Genomic DNA, 19,939 nt, shown 5'->3' on the forward strand with positions numbered 1-19,939 from the left:
CCAGCTTTGCCAATTTTCCCAAAAATATCCTTTATAACAAAAGAAAACCTCGGCTTTCTTCTGAGTGTCTATTCATCTTGCATGGTTCTTCAGCGTTTCATTGTCTTCCATGATGTTGCCATTTTTGACAAGTACAGGCCAGTTCTTTTAGGTGAATTTTGGTTTGAGTTTGTCTGTTTTCCTCATGATTAAATTCAGGTTCTGTATTGTGGCAGGAATGCCTAGGAAGTGATGCCGTGCCCTTCTCACGCAGCCTATCAAAAGACACATAACTGGCTGGGCGTGGTGGCTTACACCTGCAATCCCAGCGCTTTGGGAGGCCAAGGAGGGCAGATTACTTGAGGTCAGGAGTTCGAGACCAGCCTGGCCAACATGGTGAAACCCTGCCTCTCCTAAAAATACAAAAATTAGCTGGGCATGGTAGCAGGCTCCCCTAATCCCAGTTATTCAGGAGGCTGAGGCAGGAGAATTGCTTGAACCCAGGAGGCAGAGGTCATAGTGAGCTGAGATCACGCCACTGCACTCTAGCCTGGGTGACAGAGCAAAAGACTCTGTCTCCCCCAAAAATCCCCCACAAAAAAACCAAACAAACAAAACCAAGAGGCACACATCTATTGTGCAATCATTGGGATGTTGACTCGTATCACTTGGTTGAGGTGATGCCTGCCAGGCCTCTCTTCTATAAAGTTACTGTTTCCCCTTTGCAATGAATAAGCATACGCCAACATTGAAAGGTCAGGTTGAGGAAGGAAGGAAGCCAGGAAGAAAGCCAGTGCAGGGGCAGCCGAGAGACAGAAGGAAAGAAGGAGGGCGTCCTGGAGCCAGCAGGAGGGGCAGCATGAGTGAGGCAGGGCTGGCATTTATTGCATTAGAGGATGAAGAGTGTCCCTTGGAAGCAGCTGCCACCTGCAGGTGGCGGGCGTCGAGTTAAGCCTCTTTCGGGTGGAGCAGTGGGCCTGGAGCCAACTCAGGCTGAGTCAAGTGTGAGAGGGAGGTGAGAATGGAGATGACTGGAAAACACCTCTGTGGGGAAGGTGGTCTGTGGGCTGGGCAGAGAGGGACAGGCAGTGACGGAGAAGCATGTGGGCTTGGGGGACAGTTTGAATAGATAGAGGGGACTTAGGATATCTAGAGTGTGACAGGAGGGAGCCAGATGAGAGGCGCAAGTCCAAGGAGAGGGGTGCAATCCACAGTGTCCCAGGCGGGACGTGGGAGCCGATGACAAAAGACATGGCGGTTCTGAGGCTGTGATGGGGGGTACTCGTCAGAGCCCAGCCTGATGGGGCAGGTGGATGGGGGGGCCGGAAGGATGGCCAGGCGAACAGAGGAGAGTGAGCCATGCAGGGGATGATCCCTGGGGGTGGGGGAGAGGGGGAGGGCAGGCTGCCCAGAGGTGGGGGTGGGTGGCAGGTGGCGAGGAGGGCAGGTCCAAGGTTCTGGCCATGAGACTGTCCTGACAGCTTTAGCTGCCTGATGCAGATGGACAACGCAGACCTGGGGGACGCAGTGCTGGGATGTTCCAGGAAAGGGGCTGGATGAGGAGGGTGGTGAAAGCTGGAGGGGCCTGAAGGATGACGCAGAAGTGCAGGGAGTGCAGGGTCAGCACTGGGGTCTCAGAGATGGGGGGCAGGGGATGGCCTCCCAGAGAGACTGGCTGTCAGTGCTGTGGGAGGTGGTGAGAAGCCCAGGATTGCAGTGGGGGACCGGCCTGTGAGGGAGTGGAGTGGAGGTGTTTGCACATGAGGAGGTCTGGGAACGGGGAGGCCAGGGCATTGGTGGTGGTCCCTGGGGAGGCCTGAGCTATCAGGGTCATGGCAGGAGTTGGGGTGGGGTGGAGGTGGCCTCGAGCCACGGCTGCTAGGTTTATGAGTAGGGACCCAGGGCAGCCCTGAGGAGCTGAAGGGGGACACACCTGGATGCCAGTGCCCCAGAGGAATGGGGCATTTGATGGGGAGGGCACAGTCTGGGGACCAAGGCAGCCAGAGACCCACGGCACTGTGGACTCTGAGGCATGAGGGATGTGAATGTCGGAGCAGCCAGCTTTGGACAGGGCCGAGGGCCACCTCCAGGGGTGAGCTGGGTCTCCATCAGAGCTGGAGGAAAGGAAGCATTTGGAACAAATTGGAGTGGCTTGTGACCTGCTGGGGTGCGGGGTGGCCTAGTTTCCTGAAGAGCTGTGCACCAGGATGATGGGGCAGAAGCAGTGAGGGAGGAAGGCAGGAGGCTCCCCGGGCCTGAAATACTTGGAGACTGCCCGCTCACCAGGAAGGTGGGGGTCCCAGCCCCAGATCCGGCCCCTCTCAGCACTGGGATACCATCAGGGCTCGCAGCTTCCTACAGGAAAAGCTGACGCGGATGGGGCTGAGGACATAGCATTGGCCCTGGCCTGAGGCCAGTGAGGCTGGGTCACCCCCCAGCCTGGCTCAGCCCTCCCTTACCCAGAAATCAGAGGTTTACTTGCCCCATGGGCATATGGGGGCACACAGGGTCTGCTGCTGGGGGGACTGGGCCCCTGTCCTCTGTTCTGAGGCCTGTGGTCCCTCAGGGGCTTCTGGACACCCTGCATGCCTGTCCTACCTGCTGCTCTGAGCCCTCGCTGTGCCTGCTGACTGGAATGCGTTCAGAGCATGGCTTGGTTTCTATTCAATCAGAGACTATGATCCAAGGAGAGCCCTGGGTTTTGTGTCCTGGTTCCATCTCTGCTATTTTGATGTAGTAGGAGACTTTGGGCAAGTCCTTGTTCCTTTCCGGGCCTCAGTTTTCTTAACTGTGTACTGGGGTGGTGACAGACACCCCTGTCTAAAGCCAGCAGTCATCTGGTTCCTGAGATGGACACCGCTGACCCGGTTCAGGTCAAATCCCTAGTCTGTTACGAACAGTGGAGGTGACAGGCCCCAGGCCCCCAAAAGCCTCCTGGGTTCTTAGGAATGAAGAGGTTCCCAGCATGTTTTCAGGCCTGGGGCTCATCCATCCGTCAGATGGGGCTGGCTGCCTTCCCTCCCCTTCTATGTGTCCTCTCATACCGCCCTCCAACTCCAACTGCTCCCCTGCCAAGGGAGTGCTCTTGGTCACAGGCACAGGAAGCAGCCCCTTGAAGGCTCAGCACCACCCCTCTGTCCTCCTTTATTTGCTTCCCACTCCTTTTTGTATCCATTGAGCTAGACATGGATCTCTAAAGATACCACACCCTGGGATAGGATTCTGGGGAGGAGCTATCAGACAGTCACACCTTAGTGATAATTGACTTGATATTTTGCCAGGGGAAAAATAGACTTGACAGAAGAGAGGGCATGTCCAGAGCCTGGGAGGTAGGTGGGAGAGGCAGGGGGTAGAGAGCCCCCAGGGGGCTGTGTGTGCTGCACAAACCCTTCACCCGTGACCCACCAACCCTTTCCATTCCTTTCCCCAACCTTAGGGCACCCACTGGGAGTGAAGCGCTAGCTGATACGTAACACCATCTCTCCATTTCCCTTCCCTGACCCAGGGTCCTGGGGACCCCCAGGCCACTTGGCCTGGTTGGTGATGGGGGACAGTGGGATAGTCAGGGTTCCATAACTAAGCTCCCAGCATAGAATTTCCACGCCGCAGTTCAGGCGCCATGGCAACCAGGGGAAATAAACACTACGAGTTTCACAGTCCAAGCTCTGCCGTGACGTCATCTCCAGCTCCAGCCTGCTGGGGCCTGTGCTGACTGTGCCCCAGACAGCCTTAGCTGCTCAAGCTGGAGAACTGTCTTCCTTCCCAGCTTCCTCCGTGTCTGGGGTGGGGGATGGGGGGGTCTCAGGCAGGGATACTCTAGCCCCTTGACTGCTGTTTAGACCCTGCTGTAGCTGCTGCTGCTCCCTGCCCAGCCCCAGCCATGAAACTGCCCAAGGGGACCAGGAGCTCTGTGTACTTTGCACAGCACCCAGAAAAGGAGCCATTGCCCTCAAGGCAGGAGGTCAAGCAGACCCCTGTCATCATGGCCAAGATCAAAGGTGAGAGCCATCCCCACCCTGGGCTTGGGCCCCCTCCCCTCTCTCCAGGACTCCTTCCAGCCTGCCTCCTGCAAAGCCCCTTCCAACTTCCTTGAAGCCTTACAGAAGACCTGAGCCTCCAAGCTGACCCTCACAGGCAGTGTTGGCTGCTGGGATTGTCCAAGTGGGTGGGGGAGGAGGGGAGCATGGGACTTGCAGTGAGGCCCGCTTTGGAAAAAGACTAGGAGCCTTTGTCCTAGCTTTAGCTTTCCTCACTTCCCTTCAATTTTACTCTCAAGGGACAGCAGACGCTAATTCTTACTATGTTGGTAATGACTGACTAGTGCTCTAAGTGGGAGTAGTTTAGTGCAGGGATTGAAGGTTTGGGTTCTACTGGATGATGGTCTTAGAATCTTCACACTACTAGTTTGTGATATGTGGGTAGATATTTCTAAGCCTCAATATTCTGTAAAATGGGAAAAACAAGAGCATTTACCTTACAGCATTGTTCAGAGGCTTAACGGAAATAATCCACGTCGGATGCCTAGTGGAGAACCTGGAGCAGAATAAGTTCTCAATTAACTGTAACTATTAGCTTCTTATTATGCATTGTCTGTCCAAGGGAAACTGCATTTTATCTGGAAATACTGCCTTCCCCCAAACGAAGCAGCTGGATGGATGCTGGGCTCGTGGCAGTGCGATAGCAGCAAGAACAAATACCCCCAATGTTCCCATGGTGCGCTGTACTGGGGCTTCCCCTGCCTCTGACCTGGTGGGCCCAGGCTGAGGGCTGTCCTGTCCATCCTTACAGGTCCGGGGCCCGCCAAGTACCTCCGGCCATCCTGCACGGGCTACATAGATCATGACATCTCCATGTTCAAGGCACCAGCTTATACCCTGCATAGCCGGCACTCAGAGAAGCGTGAGCGTTGCCACCCCAGTCATCCGGCTGGGGTTGGAGCTGTTGTTGGAGGTTGAGGGGAGAGACATGGAGCCATTCTCTGTAGCCACTGGGAATCTGAGACACTCAAGGGGCCCCCTGGGTCCAGAGGAAGCCAGCGGGGATTGAGGGTGGGGCAACTCCATGGGCATCCCCTAGCCGCCTCTCCCAAGGGAGCCTATAGGGGATCCTGGCCCTGTCCAGCTGGCACAGCAGAGTCTCCTTTTTCTGGCCTTTGGCTGGGGCCCTTCAGCTCCGGTCGCCATGCTCTGCTAGGGTCACTTGCCATTGTGGCCAGGCAGGAACAGCTAGGAGGCCAGTGGGGAAGTGGTGGCCCCCAGAGCTCCTCAGGTGGCCTAGAACCCACTGGAAGGGCAGAAGCAGAGGCCACAGATGACCTATGCTGCTGGGCAGGGTGTGGTGGCGTGCACCCGGGGGTCTGAGATCTGGGGTGCCTGTCAGGCCTTTCCCTGGGGAGAATACCCACCTCAGCAAGGTAAGCCCCTGGCCTGGCTGGGCCTTTGCTGAATGCCCACAGCAGCCACAGGGCTATTACTCCCCGTTGGCCCCAACCCCTGATTGGGTGGGTGGCTGCCCAAGCTGCTGGGCAGCTGTTATTTTACTGTTCCTCTGAGCAAGTTCTTGAAAATACCAGGTCATGTGTTAAAAGTCCCATTTTACAGATGAGGAAATCAAGGGTCCCCAAACACCCAGGAGCCACAGAATCTGAAGTGGGAGGGAGATCTTGCCTGGAGGCAGGCCAGGTGCTCAGTGGGGCAGCCTTTGGGGCTGACCAGGCCCTCTCCTTGGTTGCCCTGCAGGGATGGTGTGCCACAGCAGCCCTGGGCCTTGCTATCTCTTGGATCCCAAAATAACTCGGTTTGGAATGTCCAGCTGCCCGCAGGTCCCCATGGAGGAGCGCATCTCCAACCTGCGTAAGATGGGGTTATGGACAGATGTTGGGGGTTGGGAGGTTGGGGGGTGGGGTGCACCCTTAGGACCTGGGCAGGGGCAAAGGGTCAAGACTTCCTCCTTGGAAATGTCTGGATGCCGGTATCTCCCTGCAAGACACCGACATTGCAATGCTGACATCACCATGTCTTGAAGTCAATGTTATGACATGCAGCATGTCACCAGGTGACGTTATGATGACATGGAGCTCCTGTTGTGGATGCAATATTGTCATGCGAACGAGCTCACAGACTGTAGTGATCTCAGAATGTTTCTGTGTCGCTGTCAGAGGGACAATGTCTGGATGCTGACACTGTAGCAACTGGGGGTAATCCAAGGGGAATGTTATGATGACATTATGGTTTTTTACATGATGACCACTGTGTTGCCATCCTGATGTCAGGATGGCCTAAGTGACCATCTTATTTATTTATTATTTATTTATTTAGATCGAGTCTCGCTCTGTTGCCCAGGCTGGAGTGCAGTGGCGTGATCTCGGCTCACTGCAACCTCCACCTCCTGGGTTGGAGTGATTCTCCTGCCTCAGCCTTCTGAATAGCTGGGATTACAGGTGCACGCCACCACGCCCAGCTAATTTTTGTATTTTTAGTAGAGATGGGGTTTCACCATGTTGGTCAGGCTGGTCTCGAACTCCTGATCTTGTGATCTGCCTGCCTTAGCCTCCCAAAGTGCTGGGATTGCAGGTGTGAGCCACCGCGTCCGGCCTAAGTGACCATTTGGATGTCCCTGCCCTGCTGCTGAGGTGGTCAGCCTGAGGTCACAGTGGATAACCAGGACCATCAGTTGGCTAGCAGAGAATGAGGTCTGTTCCCTGCTCTGAGAGCCCTCCCTTCCCGCCACTCCCTTTCAGGCCTGAACCCCACCCTCGCATCCTGCCAGTACTACTTTGAGAAGATCCACCCACCGGGGGAACGCAGGGCTCCCCAGTACACGTTTGGCTACCGGCGCCCATACAGAGTGATGGACCTCAACCCGGCTCCCAACCAGTACCAGATGCCACTCTTGCTGGGGCCCAACACCCCTGTCAGCCGAGCTGCTCCCTGCTACAGTCTGGCCTCCAGGGACAAGAACTGGTTCTACAAGGAGGATGTGGCAGGAGGCCCTGGACCTACCACGTACGCCCGACCTGAGCCATCCATCTATCAGAACCGCAGCCCTACTTACAGCATGGCCAAGCGCTTCGCCTACCCTCTGGACCTCACGCCACGGCCTGGCCCCGGCTCCCACGAGGTCCAGCAGGTCACTGTGCACAAGCCCCACATCCCTGCTTTCACCATGGGCATCAAGCACTCACTCCACCTGTGCCCACTGGTCATCGACATTCGTGACTGAGGCCCCTCTTGGGGCACTCACTGCCCCTCATCCCCAGAAATTATTTTTCTACACCAAATTGAGCAATTTGACCAAGATTTCTAGTAGCAGAGCCGGTACCTGCTGAGTGTCCGGCACACAGAAGACATTAGAGATACATTTTCATGTATTTGTTTTTTCCTTTTCTGTTCACAGTTGCTTCCTGTGGGTCCTGCTCTGGGTGAGGGGCTGGGGACACTGGAAGGAATGATACAGTCCCTGTCCTTGAAGAGTTCCATTCTGGTTCACCAGGTGGGGAAGCCATGTGTCTGTCCTCCAAGGAGCCCCAGGCAGAGACTCGGGAGAGCTGCATTCCAGTCCTAACTGCCATTACAGGCTGTGTGGCCTTGTGCAGCTCCTGCCCCTCTCTGGGCTCAGGATTGCCCTTTAGACAGTGCACAGGGTAGGCTTGGAAGAGGTCTAGGTTCTCCCAAGTTCCAGAACTGTGGGACTGTGCTGACAGTGTGCAGTCCCCGAGACAGGGGCAGGGCAGGTCGGGGTGCAGGCAGAGGAGCGGAGTCCCTCTGGTTGGGAGTTGGGAGAGGAGTTTCCTCGGGGAGGGACCTAAGAGGACAAGAGGAGACTGCTGGGGAGGGCGAAGGTGGAGGTCAAGGTGAGAGCAAAGCATGCAGGTGCAGTGACAGGGAACTGGGGAGGCACAGAGCAGCAGGGGCCTGGGGTGCAGGGGGCGAGGCTGCTACCCGGGGCCACATTGTGGGCAGCCGGGAGGGGCCTCGGGCTTTGCCCTGAAGGTGTGAGGGCCGGAAGATGCTTTGGGAGAAGCTCGGACAGGATGGGCAGAGTGGGAGGCAGCTCCCAGCTGGGCAGACTGCAGGGAAGGTCAGCTTGTCACATGCTGTTTTTGGGGTCACTCACTATGTCCCCAACCTCAACAGCTTAGCCTGGCAGTGCCTGTCAGAGGAGCAGCCGTGAATTAGCCAGGAGGGGGCAGCGCTGTCTCAATCTTCAAGCCCAGGCCTGTGCCTACCCACCCTGGCTGGCACCCGCTCTGGCTTTGCTGCTGCTGGGCGGACAGGCGCCAGCTCCTGTTGGTCTTGAGGAGGTGAGGGTCTCTGGGGCTGGCATTTGTCCTTCCTCTGTTCTTGGCATCCAGAGCCCCAATTCACCTCTACTCCTGGACACAGGAACCTGGCAGTCCCAGGCCAGTGTGAGGCATGGAGGGGATGCGGCTGAGGTCAGCAAAGAGGCTGGGTGGGAGGGTGGGAGCCATGGAGGGAGTGGGAGGGAGGAGGGGGGTGAGAAAGCCCCCAGACCTAATGGCTCAGGCAGAGGCAGACTGTTCCGCAGAGCAGAGGGTGACAGGAAGAGAGCACCGCCTCAGAACCAGTGTCTAATGGTTCATCCTTATAAACCTGAACAATATCCAGGTTTTAATTTAAAGTGAAAATTGAGGCTGGGTGCAGTGGCCCAAGCCTGAAATCCCAGCATTTTGGGAGAGCAAGGCAAGCAGATCATTTGAGGTCAAGAGTTCAAGACCAGCCTGGACAACATGGCGAGACCCCGTGTCTACAAAATAAAATACAAAGATTAGCCAGGCATGGTAGCTGGCGCCTATAGACCCAGCTACTCAGGTGGCTGAGGTGGGGGGATCGCTTGAGCCCAGGAGGTCAAGGCTGCAGTGAGCTGTGATTGTGCCACTGCACTCCAGCTTGGGCGATACAGCAAGACCCTGTCTAAAAAAAAGAAAGAAAAGAAAAGAAAATTGAATTGAAGCCCTAACTTTGGTCAGAAAGGAACAGAGCATATAATATTCTTTGGAATATTTTTAAAAGCACACATACAACTAAATATTTAGAAAAGAGCCTGTGGTAAACCCCACTAGGGATGTCCTTGATTCTGGGCCCTGAGGTCTCCTCTCCATCCCACCCGCCCCCAGGCCCTGGGCTTTGCATCTGCCCATCCTCTCAACAAGGATGGCCTGGGCTGGCTCTTGGGAGGCTGTGGGAGCTCGGGGACCCGTCTGTCTTGTGGCAGATTAGAAAGATGTCATTTTGCCAACAGTGCCATTTATCATGGCAGCTGCAAAAATTAGTGATGCTTGGTGTGTAAGTGTTGGGTGGGGGTGGGAGCTGGCAGGTGACAGCAGCCAATGCTCCCCAGTGTTACCAGGTCAGGGAACTGCAGGCCAACCTCTGAATAGGGGCTTTCTGATTTAACACTTAGCCCAGGTGAAGGCCCTCTGTTGGAAAGATGAGGAAGCTGGCGCTCGGAGCCTGGAAATAACTTCGGCCACGTGATAATTTTTTTTTGTGACAGGATCTTGCTCCGTTGCCCAGGCTGGAGTGCAGTGGCACAATCTTGGTTCACTGCAGTAGCTGGGACTACAGGCACATGCCACCAAACCTGGTTAATTTTTAAATCTTTTTGTAGAGACGTGGTCTTGTTATGTTGCCTAGGCTGGTCTCGAACTCATGGCCTCAAGTGATCCTCCTGCTTGGGCCTCCCAAAGTGGGATTACAGGTTTGAGCCACCATGCCTAGCCCACATGACAAATTAATGGTCCATCTCTAAATAAAGGTCTAGGTTCTGTGTGTGACCAGGACCAGGGCTCATCTAGGGTGAAGTGCTTTACTTCTATTAGGAGTAAGTATTATTTTTGCCTTTATGGCTCAGTCTAGGACAGACCTTCAGCCTGGCCCCAGCTGCCACCAGACAGAGGCAGGATTGGGAGCTGGCCCTGGAGCTAGGACTCACTCTTGGGGTAGGTTTATGGTCCCAAGAGAAGGGGAGAAGGAGGATGGAGGGTTCAGAAGGAATATTGGGGGGGGGTGAAGATGTTCAGATGAGAGGTGGCCCCGCAATCAAAGGGATGCCGACTCCAGGGAAGATGAATGGGGCCTCCCTTGTGCCTCGGCCTGCAAAATGACAGGGTCATTTAGCTTGGGATTGACCTTTGGATGAAGCAGTCCCATCACTTGACATTGCCTTTCCTGTGGTAGTGCCCCCAGAGAGGTGACTTGCAGAAGGTCAGGCACGGCCTCCCAGGTCTGGCCGACTGCTGCGTGGCCCCTTCTGAACAACTCAGGGGGTTCTCGCTTGACCTTGCAGGAAGCCCTGGTTTGATCCTTGTAGGACTTGAATCTGTATCTTCAGGTCACTAGACTCCGGAGCCTGGCACTTGATCACACACAAAGCCCCCATCCGTGCATTCATTCATTCAACAAACATTTGCTAAGCTCCTGCCCTGTGCCAGGCTCTGGCTGGGTCCGGGGGTACGAAGACTTGGTCTTCACCTGGAGCCCTGGCCTCCAGGAGGTCTGAGGCTGTGTCCGTGAGAGGGTGGGAATTCACCCTCTCCCACCACGAGCAGATGTTGGAGGGTGGATGAGGCTCGGTGCCTGGCAGGAGACCCACCTGAGGTTCCTCTCTTCTCTCTAGGGGGCAAGACAGGCCTGGCTCCATGTTGGGTTACCTCAGCCAGGGCTTGGTGGTGACATCACAGTCCCACGAGCCTCTTGGACACTGGCTGGGGTGGGGGCTGGTCTGTTGTTCCACTGTTGCTGGAGGGAACCCCAAGGCCAATCACCACTCAGGTTCCCAGGACCTGGGGGGATGGTGGCCCTGGGCCAGGAGCAGAAGAGGGGCCCTGCCTGCAGGGACACATGGACACACCATCTGGAGGCACACAGGTAGGGGCTGTGCACACACACGTCCCTTACCGCACACACGTGGGGCAAGACACACACACAAATGCACAGACCCACACCTTACTCTACACACACACACCTGGTACCACCACTGCCTTCAAACACCCTGCCCCATCCCTCTCTCCCAGGCATCTCATCTCATGCACAGATACGTGCCCACCCAGGCTCACTGGCGCCCCTCACTGCCCTGGAGTAGTAAATCCACAAACCATGAGATGTCCCGACATGCAGAGAGAGGTGGGATGGGTGATGGGAGGGAGGTCAGGAGAGTCCCTGCATTCCCCCAGGAGAGGGGACCGCTGGCTGCTCTCAGCCCGCCAGCCTGGGACCTGGCCTCTGGGCGCTGTGCACGTGGTCGTGAGAGGGCACCCCCATGAAGACAAGCCAGGTCCCCACTCCTGCTCCCAGCACTCACAGACACCCACTCTCGGGGCTGCTCAGGTACGGGAGGACTAAACAGGAGCTCCTGCCACCCGGCTCCTTTCGGGGTGTGGTGGGGGGCTGGTGGGAGGACACATCCCCCTGAGTCCGTGGCCCTGCTCACTGGTGGAGAGTTGCCCGCCCTCCCGTTCCTTCTGCTCCCTCTTCCTCTCCACGCCCACATCCTCCCAGCTGGCCTTTCTCTCCCCCAGATCCTCTCCCATGACCAGGTTTCCTCTCTCTCTCTCTCTCTCTCTCTCGCTCCCTGTGTCCCTGTGACCTACTTATGCTCTAGAATAATGATCGACATTTTCAATTACCCCCAAAGTAACAGCCGTTCTTGGGGCCTGGCGGAGGACGGCTGCATGGGCGTGGGCACGGGCGCTGGTTTGAGTGTGGGGCCTGCGGGTGGTGGGGGTGGGGACGCCCATGGTCCCACTGTCCTTTGTTTGCTTTTTCTCATCCGGAGCCTTCAATTTTTCCTGGAAGATTGGAAGCACGTTTCCCTTCAGGGGAGGAAGGGAGATAAAACAGAGAAATAAAAACTGTCATCATTCTCTTGTAAACAGCGTAGAGCCAAGTGGGGGCTCGGCAGGAGAGAGCGACATGAGGGAGAGGCCAGGACAGAGAAAGGGGGCCGAGAGGGATGGGGTGGGGAGGTGAGCAGGAGCCCCCCCTCAAGGCCGGGTGGGTGGGTGTCCTGCAGGAAAGACTGATGGGAGGGGAATGAGGCGAGGTGAGGCTGATCCAGGGCTGGGGCCAGGTTGGGGGGTTGCGGTTTGAGGAGACACAGTGTCTGCTGAGTGCCAGGCAGGCCCTGGGAGGCAGGCGCTATTCTCCGAATCCCACCCTGCGCCAGGCTCTGGGGGTGCTGAGGTGAGTGACAGACATGTCTTTGCACTCTTGGGGCATAAACTCTATTGGAAACAAAGCGGTGGCTTCATGTGTTCAGCACTTATATCAATTGAGGCTCAGAGAGGGTGGGTGACCTGCCCGATGACACACAGCTGGAGGTGAGGAGACCAGGATCCCAGCCAGGTCCGTGTGACCGCAGTCTCCTTTCACACCACCTCCGCTGTGGGCACACTTGGCTCTTGCGTGACCTTGAGCAAGTCCTCACCTCTTGGCCATCAGTTTCCCCATCTGAAAAGCAGCCAGCATGCTGGCTCTCTGCAGGGCTGAGGGGAGCATCAGATGTCTGGATGTGAAGGACGCTCAGCTCTGGCTCTCTGGCGAGTTGGCGGGGGGACGGAGGAGCAAAGACCACCGGATGCTGGGAGAGGGACTGGCCGGCAGGGAAAGGAGGCCGGACCGCAGATTTACTCCCTGCTGCTGCCCAGTGGCAATAATTGGGTACTGCAGAGGGTGGGTCTGGAGGACCTTCTTCAGCTTGCAACAAGGCCAGAGCAGAAAGGTGCCTCTAGGGAGTGTTGTCTAGTCCTCCCGGCCCCATTTTGCTGATGCCCAGAGAAAGGAGGGACTCCTCCTCAGGTCATCCAGGGCAGAAGCTTGGGCTAGGCTTTCAGGGTAGGGTGCTTCCCTCCATCCCTGTGGCAATCAAGAAGCCCCCAGTCAGCTTCAGAGCAAGAGAAACAGAGTTCTACATCCTCTGCTTGATGCCACCACCTCCAGGGAGACTTCCAGGGTCTCCTCCAGTAGGAAGTGGCCTCACTCCTGCCCTGCAGTCCCACACTCAAACTCTCCTTGCTCCTCCTGCCCCACCCAACCATGACTGTCCTCCTGCCCGCAGCAAATCAGGCAGCGGGGCCCCTTGAGACACGAGAGATGGTGGAGAACCATTGTTACCACTCAGGGAGCATGTGCCAGGGGCCCACTCTGTCCTGCGGCTCTACCTGCATCCTCTCACTTGAACCTCGTAAGAACCTTGGTAAGTTGGGGTTATTTTGATCCCCATTTTTCAGGTGAGGGAACGGGCACAGAGAGTTTATGACCTTTACACACAGAGTGGTGGGGCATGGACTCAAACCCAGGTCTGTCTGTTCTCTGGAGAGGCACCTGCATTTGGAGGTGAAAACTACCCCTGTGGCCATATGACAGTCCACTGTGACCGGACACTGAAATGACCAGTCCAGGGGGCTTGTGGGCTGGGGTCTCAGCTTCACCACTGTGCTGCTGGGTGACTTTGGGCAAGGCCCATTCCTCTCTGGACCCTGGTTTCTCATCTGTGTACTGTGTATGTGCATGCATGCATGTGTGTGTATATATGCGTGCGTGCGTGCGTGTGTGTGTTCTGGGCTACCTCAGAGATCCATTCTGGCTTTGAGTGTGGTATATCCCATCTTGGGCTGGTCCCAAGGCTTGGGCCCTGGGATGGAAAGGTTTTAAAGGTCATGGGGAGGGGGTGCAGATGGCAGTGTGGGAGGCAGAGCTCTGGCTAAGAGCTGGGCCCCTTGGGTGCACCTCCTGCTTGCGTGTCACTGTGTAGGGCTGGGGATCAAGGGGAGGCATGGACTGTGAGGGCACGAGGGATCCGGCTCTGGGACAGGTATGGGGTTGGCCCTAGGGCCTGGATGTGTCTCCCTCCACTGCCTGCCACAGAGGGAGTTTGTCTTACAGGAAACAGCCTCATCCATCAGCGGCAATGGGGGGCTGACAGTGGCCACTCCCCACCAGCCCTGGCTGGAGGCAGACTCATAAATCCCATGCCAGGCTGGGCTGTAAATTCCTGTGATTCACATCTGGCCTCTTGGAGGACAGAGACATTTGGGGCTGTGGGGCTGGCTGTTCTCTCTTGGACAGGACAGGTGGGTACCCGGGAGAAGCCTCTTCACTGGCCCAGCAGTCTCAGATGGCCCCCCTGAGGAGATGCGATGCTGAGCCCCTGGATGCCTCAGGCCCAGCCCGAGCCATCTCTGCCCACGCCCAGGCCACCTCTGCCTGGGCCATTCCTGTGCTCTGGCCCGAATCACCCTGGAGGTCACGTGTGTGGACACACTCTGTGGCCTCAGAGATCTCATGGGGCCTGTGGCCCTGTGGGTGGAGGATTACTCAGGTGCTGGGGCAAGAGACTGAAGGCACAAACTGTTTCAATATAATAAAGAAAATAATTAGAATAAGAATAGTCATAATACAAATTAGATATAGAGATGATCATAGACAATTACCAATCATTACTATAAACATTATTAATCATTAGCTTTTAATTACTAATATAACCTAGGAATAACCTGCGGGTATAGGGTCAGGTGCTGAAGGGACATTGTGAGAAGTGATGTAGAAGGCAAGAGGTGAGCCCTGTCATGCCCGCATAAGGTCCGCTTGAGGGCTCCTTGGTCAAGTGGTAACGCCAGTGTCTGGGAAGGCACCCGTTACTTAGCAGACCGCGAAAGGGAGTCTCCCTTTCCTTGGAGGAGTCAGGGAACACTCTGCTCCACCAGCTTCTTGTGGGAGGCTGGATAGTATCCAGGCCTGCCCGCAGTCATCCGGAGGCCTAAACCCCTCCCTGTGGTGCTGTGCTTCAATGGTCACGCTCCTTGTCCACTTTCATGTTCCTCCTGTACTCCTGGTTCCTCTTTGAAGTTTGTAGTAGACAGTGGTAGAAGGAATAGTGAAAGTCTTAAAGTCTTTGATCTTTCTTATAAGTGCATAGAAGAAAACGCTGACGTATGCTGCCTTCTCTCTCCCTGCTTCGGCTACCTAAGAGGGAAGGGCCCCCTGTTCTGTGATCACGTGACTTGCTTCACCTTGTCAATCACTTAGAAGATTCACCCTCCTTACCCTGCCCCCTTGTCTTGCATGCAATAAATATCAGCGGGCGCAGCTGTTTGGGGCCACTACCGGTCTCCGCGTCTTGATGGTAGTGGTCCCCTGGGCCCAGCTGTTTTCCCTTTATCTCTTTGTCTTGTGTCTTTATTTATTACAATCTCTCGTCTCCGCACACGGGGAGAACACCCACTAAGTCCCGTAGGGCTGGACCCTACATGGCCTGGAGGGTTGGCTCCAAGAACCCCACAGTGAGGTCTCCTGCCAATCCGCATGGCATTCTGTCTTGGGGCTGTGAGGACACGGTGGGAGATCACGGCCCAGTCTGTGCATCTCTCATTCCAGGGAGGCCGGGGCCCCGAATCCACTGTCCCTTAGACAGGAAGGGGATAGGGACACTCAGACCAGGGCTGCAGCCATTTGTCGCCTTTCATCAGGACTTTTGCCACACTCAGATGCCACTGGAACTCTACTTAGCGTTTTTTAAAAATCAGCTTACTTTTAAAATTTAAGTGTGTGTTTTAGCCTCGTCTTTAGCCATATTTGTGAAATCAGGGTCTGATGTACTAGTCAAATACCATGCACATACACGCTCAGACACATACATATACACATATATGTGAAAATATACACATGAAATATATCCATGAAAGTAAACAAAGTTAAAATAGCAAATGCTCAGCTCCATGTACCATCTAACCCTGCTTTAGGTTTAGAGTGGCTCTAGTCTCCCCCCATTATGGGTGATTCCTCACTGGTGAAACAAAGCAGGTTCAGATGGCTCACAGAGCTGAGCATTTACCAGCCATTCTAGCCTTCCTCCATTTTACAGACAAGGAAACCAAGGTCCAGAGAGGTGTAGGGCCTGCCTGAGGTCACACAGCGCTGGGATTAGTGGCCAGCCTGCCTGACTCCCAGCTGAGTGATCCTTTTACGGAAGCACACTCCCTGTCTGTGGTGTGCAGGGCCCCTTCCTCCAGAAGCATATGTGGACTCACAGAGCCCTTTAGGAGACTGTGCCCTAACATGCCTCCTTCCCCGCCACCTCGCAGTGCCCAGCACCCTCACTGGCCGGCACGTGCAGCACAGATCTGGGTGTGCAGCCACTCAGCACACTGATCCACACACGTGGGCAGAGTCACAACACAGAAGCTCGCCTGCACACAGAGGCATTTGCACCAGCTCCCTGCACACTTGTGCCTGGTGTGTTCAGAGGACCACCTGTGCTGCTCATGGAGACAGGGCTTGCTCGCTAATGTCCAGCTGTCATTTCTCTACCTCAGGTCAGAGAGTCTGACCCACCTAAGAGCCTTCCATGGCTCCCTACGGCCTGCAGCATTGAGCCCCAAAAGTCAAACTCTTCGGACTTTGAAGGTTTTCCACCCTATGCCTCACCCTCCCCACAGAGCTCTTCCTCATTCCGTCTCTGTTCCCTGCTTTGGCCAGTGGCTGTCCTGGATGCGGCCCACACTACACCTCTGCCCACACTGCAGCTCTGTACCCAGATACCCTCCAGTTCCTCGCCACATAATTCTATCTCAGTCATGCCCCGGACTGCGTTGAAGCCAGGCTGCCTTGAAGCTCTCCTAGACTGCTCTTTTCCCCAAGGAAGGGTCATGATTTGCCAAATGTTTCGCATGTGTTAGCAAGACTGGAGTCGGAGCAGGCATCAAACCTTACATCCCATATGTCACACCTCACCACAGACCTGGATGCCAAATACCCTGAAGAGTCTGAACTCACATTGGCAGTTAGCAAAGTGCTCCTACAGCCACATCTGCAGTTAACACAGCATCCCTATGGCCACTGTCTCTCTTGATCCCCACGGCCACTCTGGGAGAAAGGCAGAGAGTCATCATTTGATAGAAAGGATGCTGAGGCTCTGGGAGGGAAAGGGACTTGCCTAAAGCCCCAGGGTGAAGCAGCGTCTCTGGACTCCCAGTCCAGTGCTCTTGCCCAGTGCTATGCTGCTTGCCTCTACCCATCTCCGTGGGTCATCAGCGCATCATAGGGCAAGCCCCAATCCCTGCCTCATTTTGGTTTATGGGCGCTGGACCCACAGCCCTACCCTACAGTCATTTGGAGACAAAAACAGATGCTATTGTTCTTCCTTAGAGAACGTGGCCAGTGGATCCGGCACACTGGGAATCAGAGTGAATGTCCTTGAAAGAGGCCATGGGTCAACAAGGCCAAGCCAGAGGATGCAGAACGCTTTTCCTTAGAAATCTTTGGGAGTGAAGCAGGCTTCAGACTCTCCCATCCCTGCCCCTGCAGCCACCCCTACCACATTGGTTTGGACCCAGTAGGTTGGGGCGGGGGCGGGGGCGGGGGCGGGGTGGGGGTGGAGGAAAAATCAGATTGCCCATGCCCCCCAGGCTCCTTCCCCAGCTGCTTCTGTCCTAGCCCAGGCCTGGTGCCATTCTTCCACTCACACTCGTGTGCAAACCCACACACACATCACACACCTTGATGCTCACAGTCACAGCCTGGCCTCTGCTCCTGTGGGCCAGTGGCCAGACACCCCCTGGGATGGCTCAAAGGAGTCAGGACTTGGAAGTGGGGACATCAGGGTAGCTGAAGGAAATCCACACACCCAGAACATCTCGGGGTTCAGACTCTCTGACCTGAGGTAGGCTCCCCAGGGGCTGGGAGAGGGGTTTGACGGAATGGAGGATGGAGGACAGCGGGAAGAAGAAACGAGGAGGAATGCAACGTGTGGGGCGGCCGCCAAGAGTGAAAATAGAGGGAAGCGCCATGCAAGTGCTGGAAAGAAGGGGGCAGGTGGGACGAGCCCCACAGCCCCCTCCACAAAAAGACCACTTCCGGGACTCAGTGCTCCTTTGGGGGCAGGCTCCGCCAGCTCTCCGCCACTCAGGGCTCCGGTCCCACGGTCGGAGTGCCCGGGACGGAGACGGCCAGTTCTGGCGGCCAGGTCCGACGCTCTAGAATCCAGCCCCATTTCCCTCCCGGCCACGCCCGTCCGGCGGCCTCTCCTGTCATATTCAGCCCCTACTCACCTGGGGACCCCGGGAGGGGCGCGAGGGCACCTGCAGGGGGAGGGCCTAAGGGGTCAGGGGAAGCCCCCGGTGTGGAGGGTACGACGGGCGCTTCCCCCAGGGTGGACGCAGCAGGCAGAGGCCCAGGAGCAGGGCTCCGCAACCCGGGCCGGGCTGGGGGCACGGCGGGGAGTCGGCACTGCGTCGTGGGGCTGGACTTGGGCGACCTGCGGGCGAAAGGGAGCCAGGAACAGAAAGAGGAGCGATGAGCGGCCCCGCCCACCCTAAGGCCCCGCCCCAGCCCAGTGCCAGCCACTCCCATGCATGCAAGCCCCTTCCTGAAGGCCCGAGGCGGTCACCGGAGCTTAAGCCCCGCCGCCAGCGGCGCCAACCTCCCAGATCCACCCCGCCCCGCAGCCCGCGCTCCACGGCAAGCCCCGCCCTCTCTAAGCTCCGCCTCTCGCTTCAAGTAGGCGCCACCCCGGGATGGGGGCGCGCCCTGCCTGGTCCGGCACTTCTTCCGCGGCCCAGGCTGGGGGGCTTTGGGGCCGTGGGGGCCGACCCTGGTACCTGCGTCCGACCGGGACGCTCTGCACCTGCAGCCAGGAGTCATCCACAGGACCCCGTGGGTGTGCTGACGATGGTCGTCTTGATGTCACCGATGATGCTGGGCGCCTCCCTCAGCACGTGGTGCATGCGCCGCATCTCGTTGCGCCCCTGTGCCTGCTCTGCCGACTCCCCCATCAGCGTGTTCTGTTCCCCACGCGAGTACAAGTTGGCCAGCAGCTCCGAGAAGATGAACTCCTTGGTCTGAGAGCGGGCAAAGAGGGAAGGAGACTGGGACCTGATTGATGCTTGTGCTGCCCTGGCCGCCATAGCTGCCCCGCCGGGCCCTGTTGGGACTGTGCGCTGGACTTGGAGCCGCGAGTATGGCTTTTCAGACGCGGCTTCTACACCGCTTAGACTCGAAGATCCGCCTCCCCACCGCCCTTTTCTCACTCAGATGAGGACACTGAGGTCCAGAGGAAAAGTCACCTGTCCAAGGTCACAGTTCTGGGAGGGGACTGAGGACCTATCATGCCACCAGGACACCTGTCTACTCAGTTTTTAATTTTTGGAGATAGGATCTCGCTTTGTCGCCAGGCTGGAGTACAGTGGGCGAGATCACTGCTCACTGAAGCCTCAACCTCCTGGGCTCAAAGTGATCCTCCAACGTCAGCCTGTGGAGCAGCTAGGACTACATGTACTTGCCACCACCAAGCCCAGCTATTTTTTAAAATTTTTGTGTTGAGATGAGGTCTCATTATGTTGCCCAGGCTGGTCTTGAACTCCTGGGCTCAAGCCGTCCTCCTACCTTGGCCTCCCAAAGTGCTGGGATTACAAGCATGAACCACTATAATCCCACATTATATTTCTATTGGACAACTCTGGTCTGGACTGTGCCTCCCTTCCTGAGGCTGGTCCCATAAGGCTGGTCTGCATCTCCCCTAGGCCAACATGGCCACCTGGGTCCCCTCTACCCCCATGAGGCGACGCATGCACGTTGTTGATCATGAGGTGGATGATGGTCTTGGGCATGAGGTCCTGCATGTTCTTGTTGACAATGGCCATGTACGAGTCCACCAGGTTCTGAATGGTCTCCACTTGCCACTCCAGCTGTGGTCCATGGAGAGCATGAAGCTGTCGGAGCCATTCCCCTCAGTCTTGCTGGCCTGTCATGAAGAACACAAGGGCATCAGGGTGGCCAGGCCATGTAGCCAGGCTCCAGGCATCCCCTGCAAGGGTACCTGGCACATTGATGCACAGAGAGAAGCAACTGGCCTAAACAGACACCCAGCTCTCCACATGCTCTAAAAGGTTTCAGGTCTCTGCCCATCCCTGTATCTCTTAGGACCCCAGACTCCCCTGATTCAG

The 19,939-nt window shown here is 56.5% G+C and overlaps 1 protein-coding gene and 1 pseudogene across 3 annotated transcripts, besides 7 other annotated features; one reads left to right on the forward strand and one right to left on the reverse strand.

Moving 5' to 3' along the window:
• On the forward strand, positions 3,701–7,348 carry CIMAP1C (ciliary microtubule associated protein 1C). 2 transcript variants are annotated; one of them, XM_006720414.4, is made up of 4 exons: positions 3,701–3,977; positions 4,768–4,929; positions 5,718–5,831; positions 6,719–7,348. In XM_006720414.4, the coding sequence occupies exons 1-4, from the start codon at positions 3,860–3,862 to the stop codon at positions 7,198–7,200; spliced, it is 876 nt and encodes a 291-aa protein (XP_006720477.1). In that variant the 5' UTR covers positions 3,701–3,859; the 3' UTR covers positions 7,201–7,348. The 2 variants fall into 2 exon arrangements, with proteins under 2 accessions (XP_006720477.1, NP_787077.1); NM_175881.5 differs by having other exon boundaries at positions 4,768–4,878.
• Positions 3,771–3,940: an enhancer, noted in NCBI's record as "active region_9863". NCBI's record gives its function as "activates an Ori minimal core promoter by ATAC-STARR-seq in GM12878 lymphoblastoid cells {active_cell/tissue: GM12878}" and the evidence as "EXISTENCE:reporter gene assay evidence [ECO:0000049][PMID:35858748]".
• Positions 6,980–7,480: an enhancer, noted in NCBI's record as "H3K4me1 hESC enhancer chr15:76019661-76020161 (GRCh37/hg19 assembly coordinates)". NCBI's record gives its function as "activates a minimal SCP1, AML or CMV promoter by ChIP-STARR-seq in naive H9 embryonic stem cells {active_cell/tissue: H9 hESC(naive)}" and the evidence as "EXISTENCE:reporter gene assay evidence [ECO:0000049][PMID:30033119]".
• On the reverse strand, positions 7,330–19,737 carry DNM1P35 (dynamin 1 pseudogene 35; annotated as a pseudogene). Its single transcript, NR_024595.3, has 5 exons — positions 19,568–19,737; positions 18,596–18,835; positions 18,047–18,252; positions 11,627–11,812; positions 7,330–10,094 (listed from the first exon to the last, which is right to left on the reverse strand). The product of NR_024595.3 is annotated as a dynamin 1 pseudogene 35 (transcript).
• Positions 10,991–11,922: an enhancer, noted in NCBI's record as "H3K4me1 hESC enhancer chr15:76023672-76024603 (GRCh37/hg19 assembly coordinates)". NCBI's record gives its function as "activates a minimal SCP1, AML or CMV promoter by ChIP-STARR-seq in naive H9 embryonic stem cells {active_cell/tissue: H9 hESC(naive)}" and the evidence as "EXISTENCE:reporter gene assay evidence [ECO:0000049][PMID:30033119]".
• Positions 15,615–16,135: an enhancer, noted in NCBI's record as "H3K4me1 hESC enhancer chr15:76028296-76028816 (GRCh37/hg19 assembly coordinates)". NCBI's record gives its function as "activates a minimal SCP1, AML or CMV promoter by ChIP-STARR-seq in naive H9 embryonic stem cells {active_cell/tissue: H9 hESC(naive)}" and the evidence as "EXISTENCE:reporter gene assay evidence [ECO:0000049][PMID:30033119]".
• Positions 17,997–18,256: a silencer, noted in NCBI's record as "silent region_6680". NCBI's record gives its function as "represses an Ori minimal core promoter by ATAC-STARR-seq in GM12878 lymphoblastoid cells {active_cell/tissue: GM12878}" and the evidence as "EXISTENCE:reporter gene assay evidence [ECO:0000049][PMID:35858748]".
• Positions 18,287–18,626: a silencer, noted in NCBI's record as "silent region_6681". NCBI's record gives its function as "represses an Ori minimal core promoter by ATAC-STARR-seq in GM12878 lymphoblastoid cells {active_cell/tissue: GM12878}" and the evidence as "EXISTENCE:reporter gene assay evidence [ECO:0000049][PMID:35858748]".
• Positions 18,697–18,976: an enhancer, noted in NCBI's record as "active region_9864". NCBI's record gives its function as "activates an Ori minimal core promoter by ATAC-STARR-seq in GM12878 lymphoblastoid cells {active_cell/tissue: GM12878}" and the evidence as "EXISTENCE:reporter gene assay evidence [ECO:0000049][PMID:35858748]".
• Positions 19,738–19,939: the final 202 nt, after the last annotated feature.

This window comes from Homo sapiens, chromosome 15, assembly GCF_000001405.40.
Source record: "Homo sapiens chromosome 15, GRCh38.p14 Primary Assembly".
NCBI lineage: Eukaryota > Metazoa > Chordata > Mammalia > Primates > Hominidae > Homo > Homo sapiens.

Coding starts and splice junctions, on each gene's coding strand:
- CIMAP1C (XM_006720414.4), top strand. CDS start 3,860: ATGAAACTGCCCAAGGGGACCAGGAGCTCTGTGTACTTTGCACAGCAC. Junction 3,978..4,767: donor CATCATGGCCAAGATCAAAG/GTGAGAGCCATC, acceptor CCATCCTTACAG/GTCCGGGGCCCGCCAAGTAC. Junction 4,930..5,717: donor GGTTGGAGCTGTTGTTGGAG/GTTGAGGGGAGA, acceptor GTTGCCCTGCAG/GGATGGTGTGCCACAGCAGC.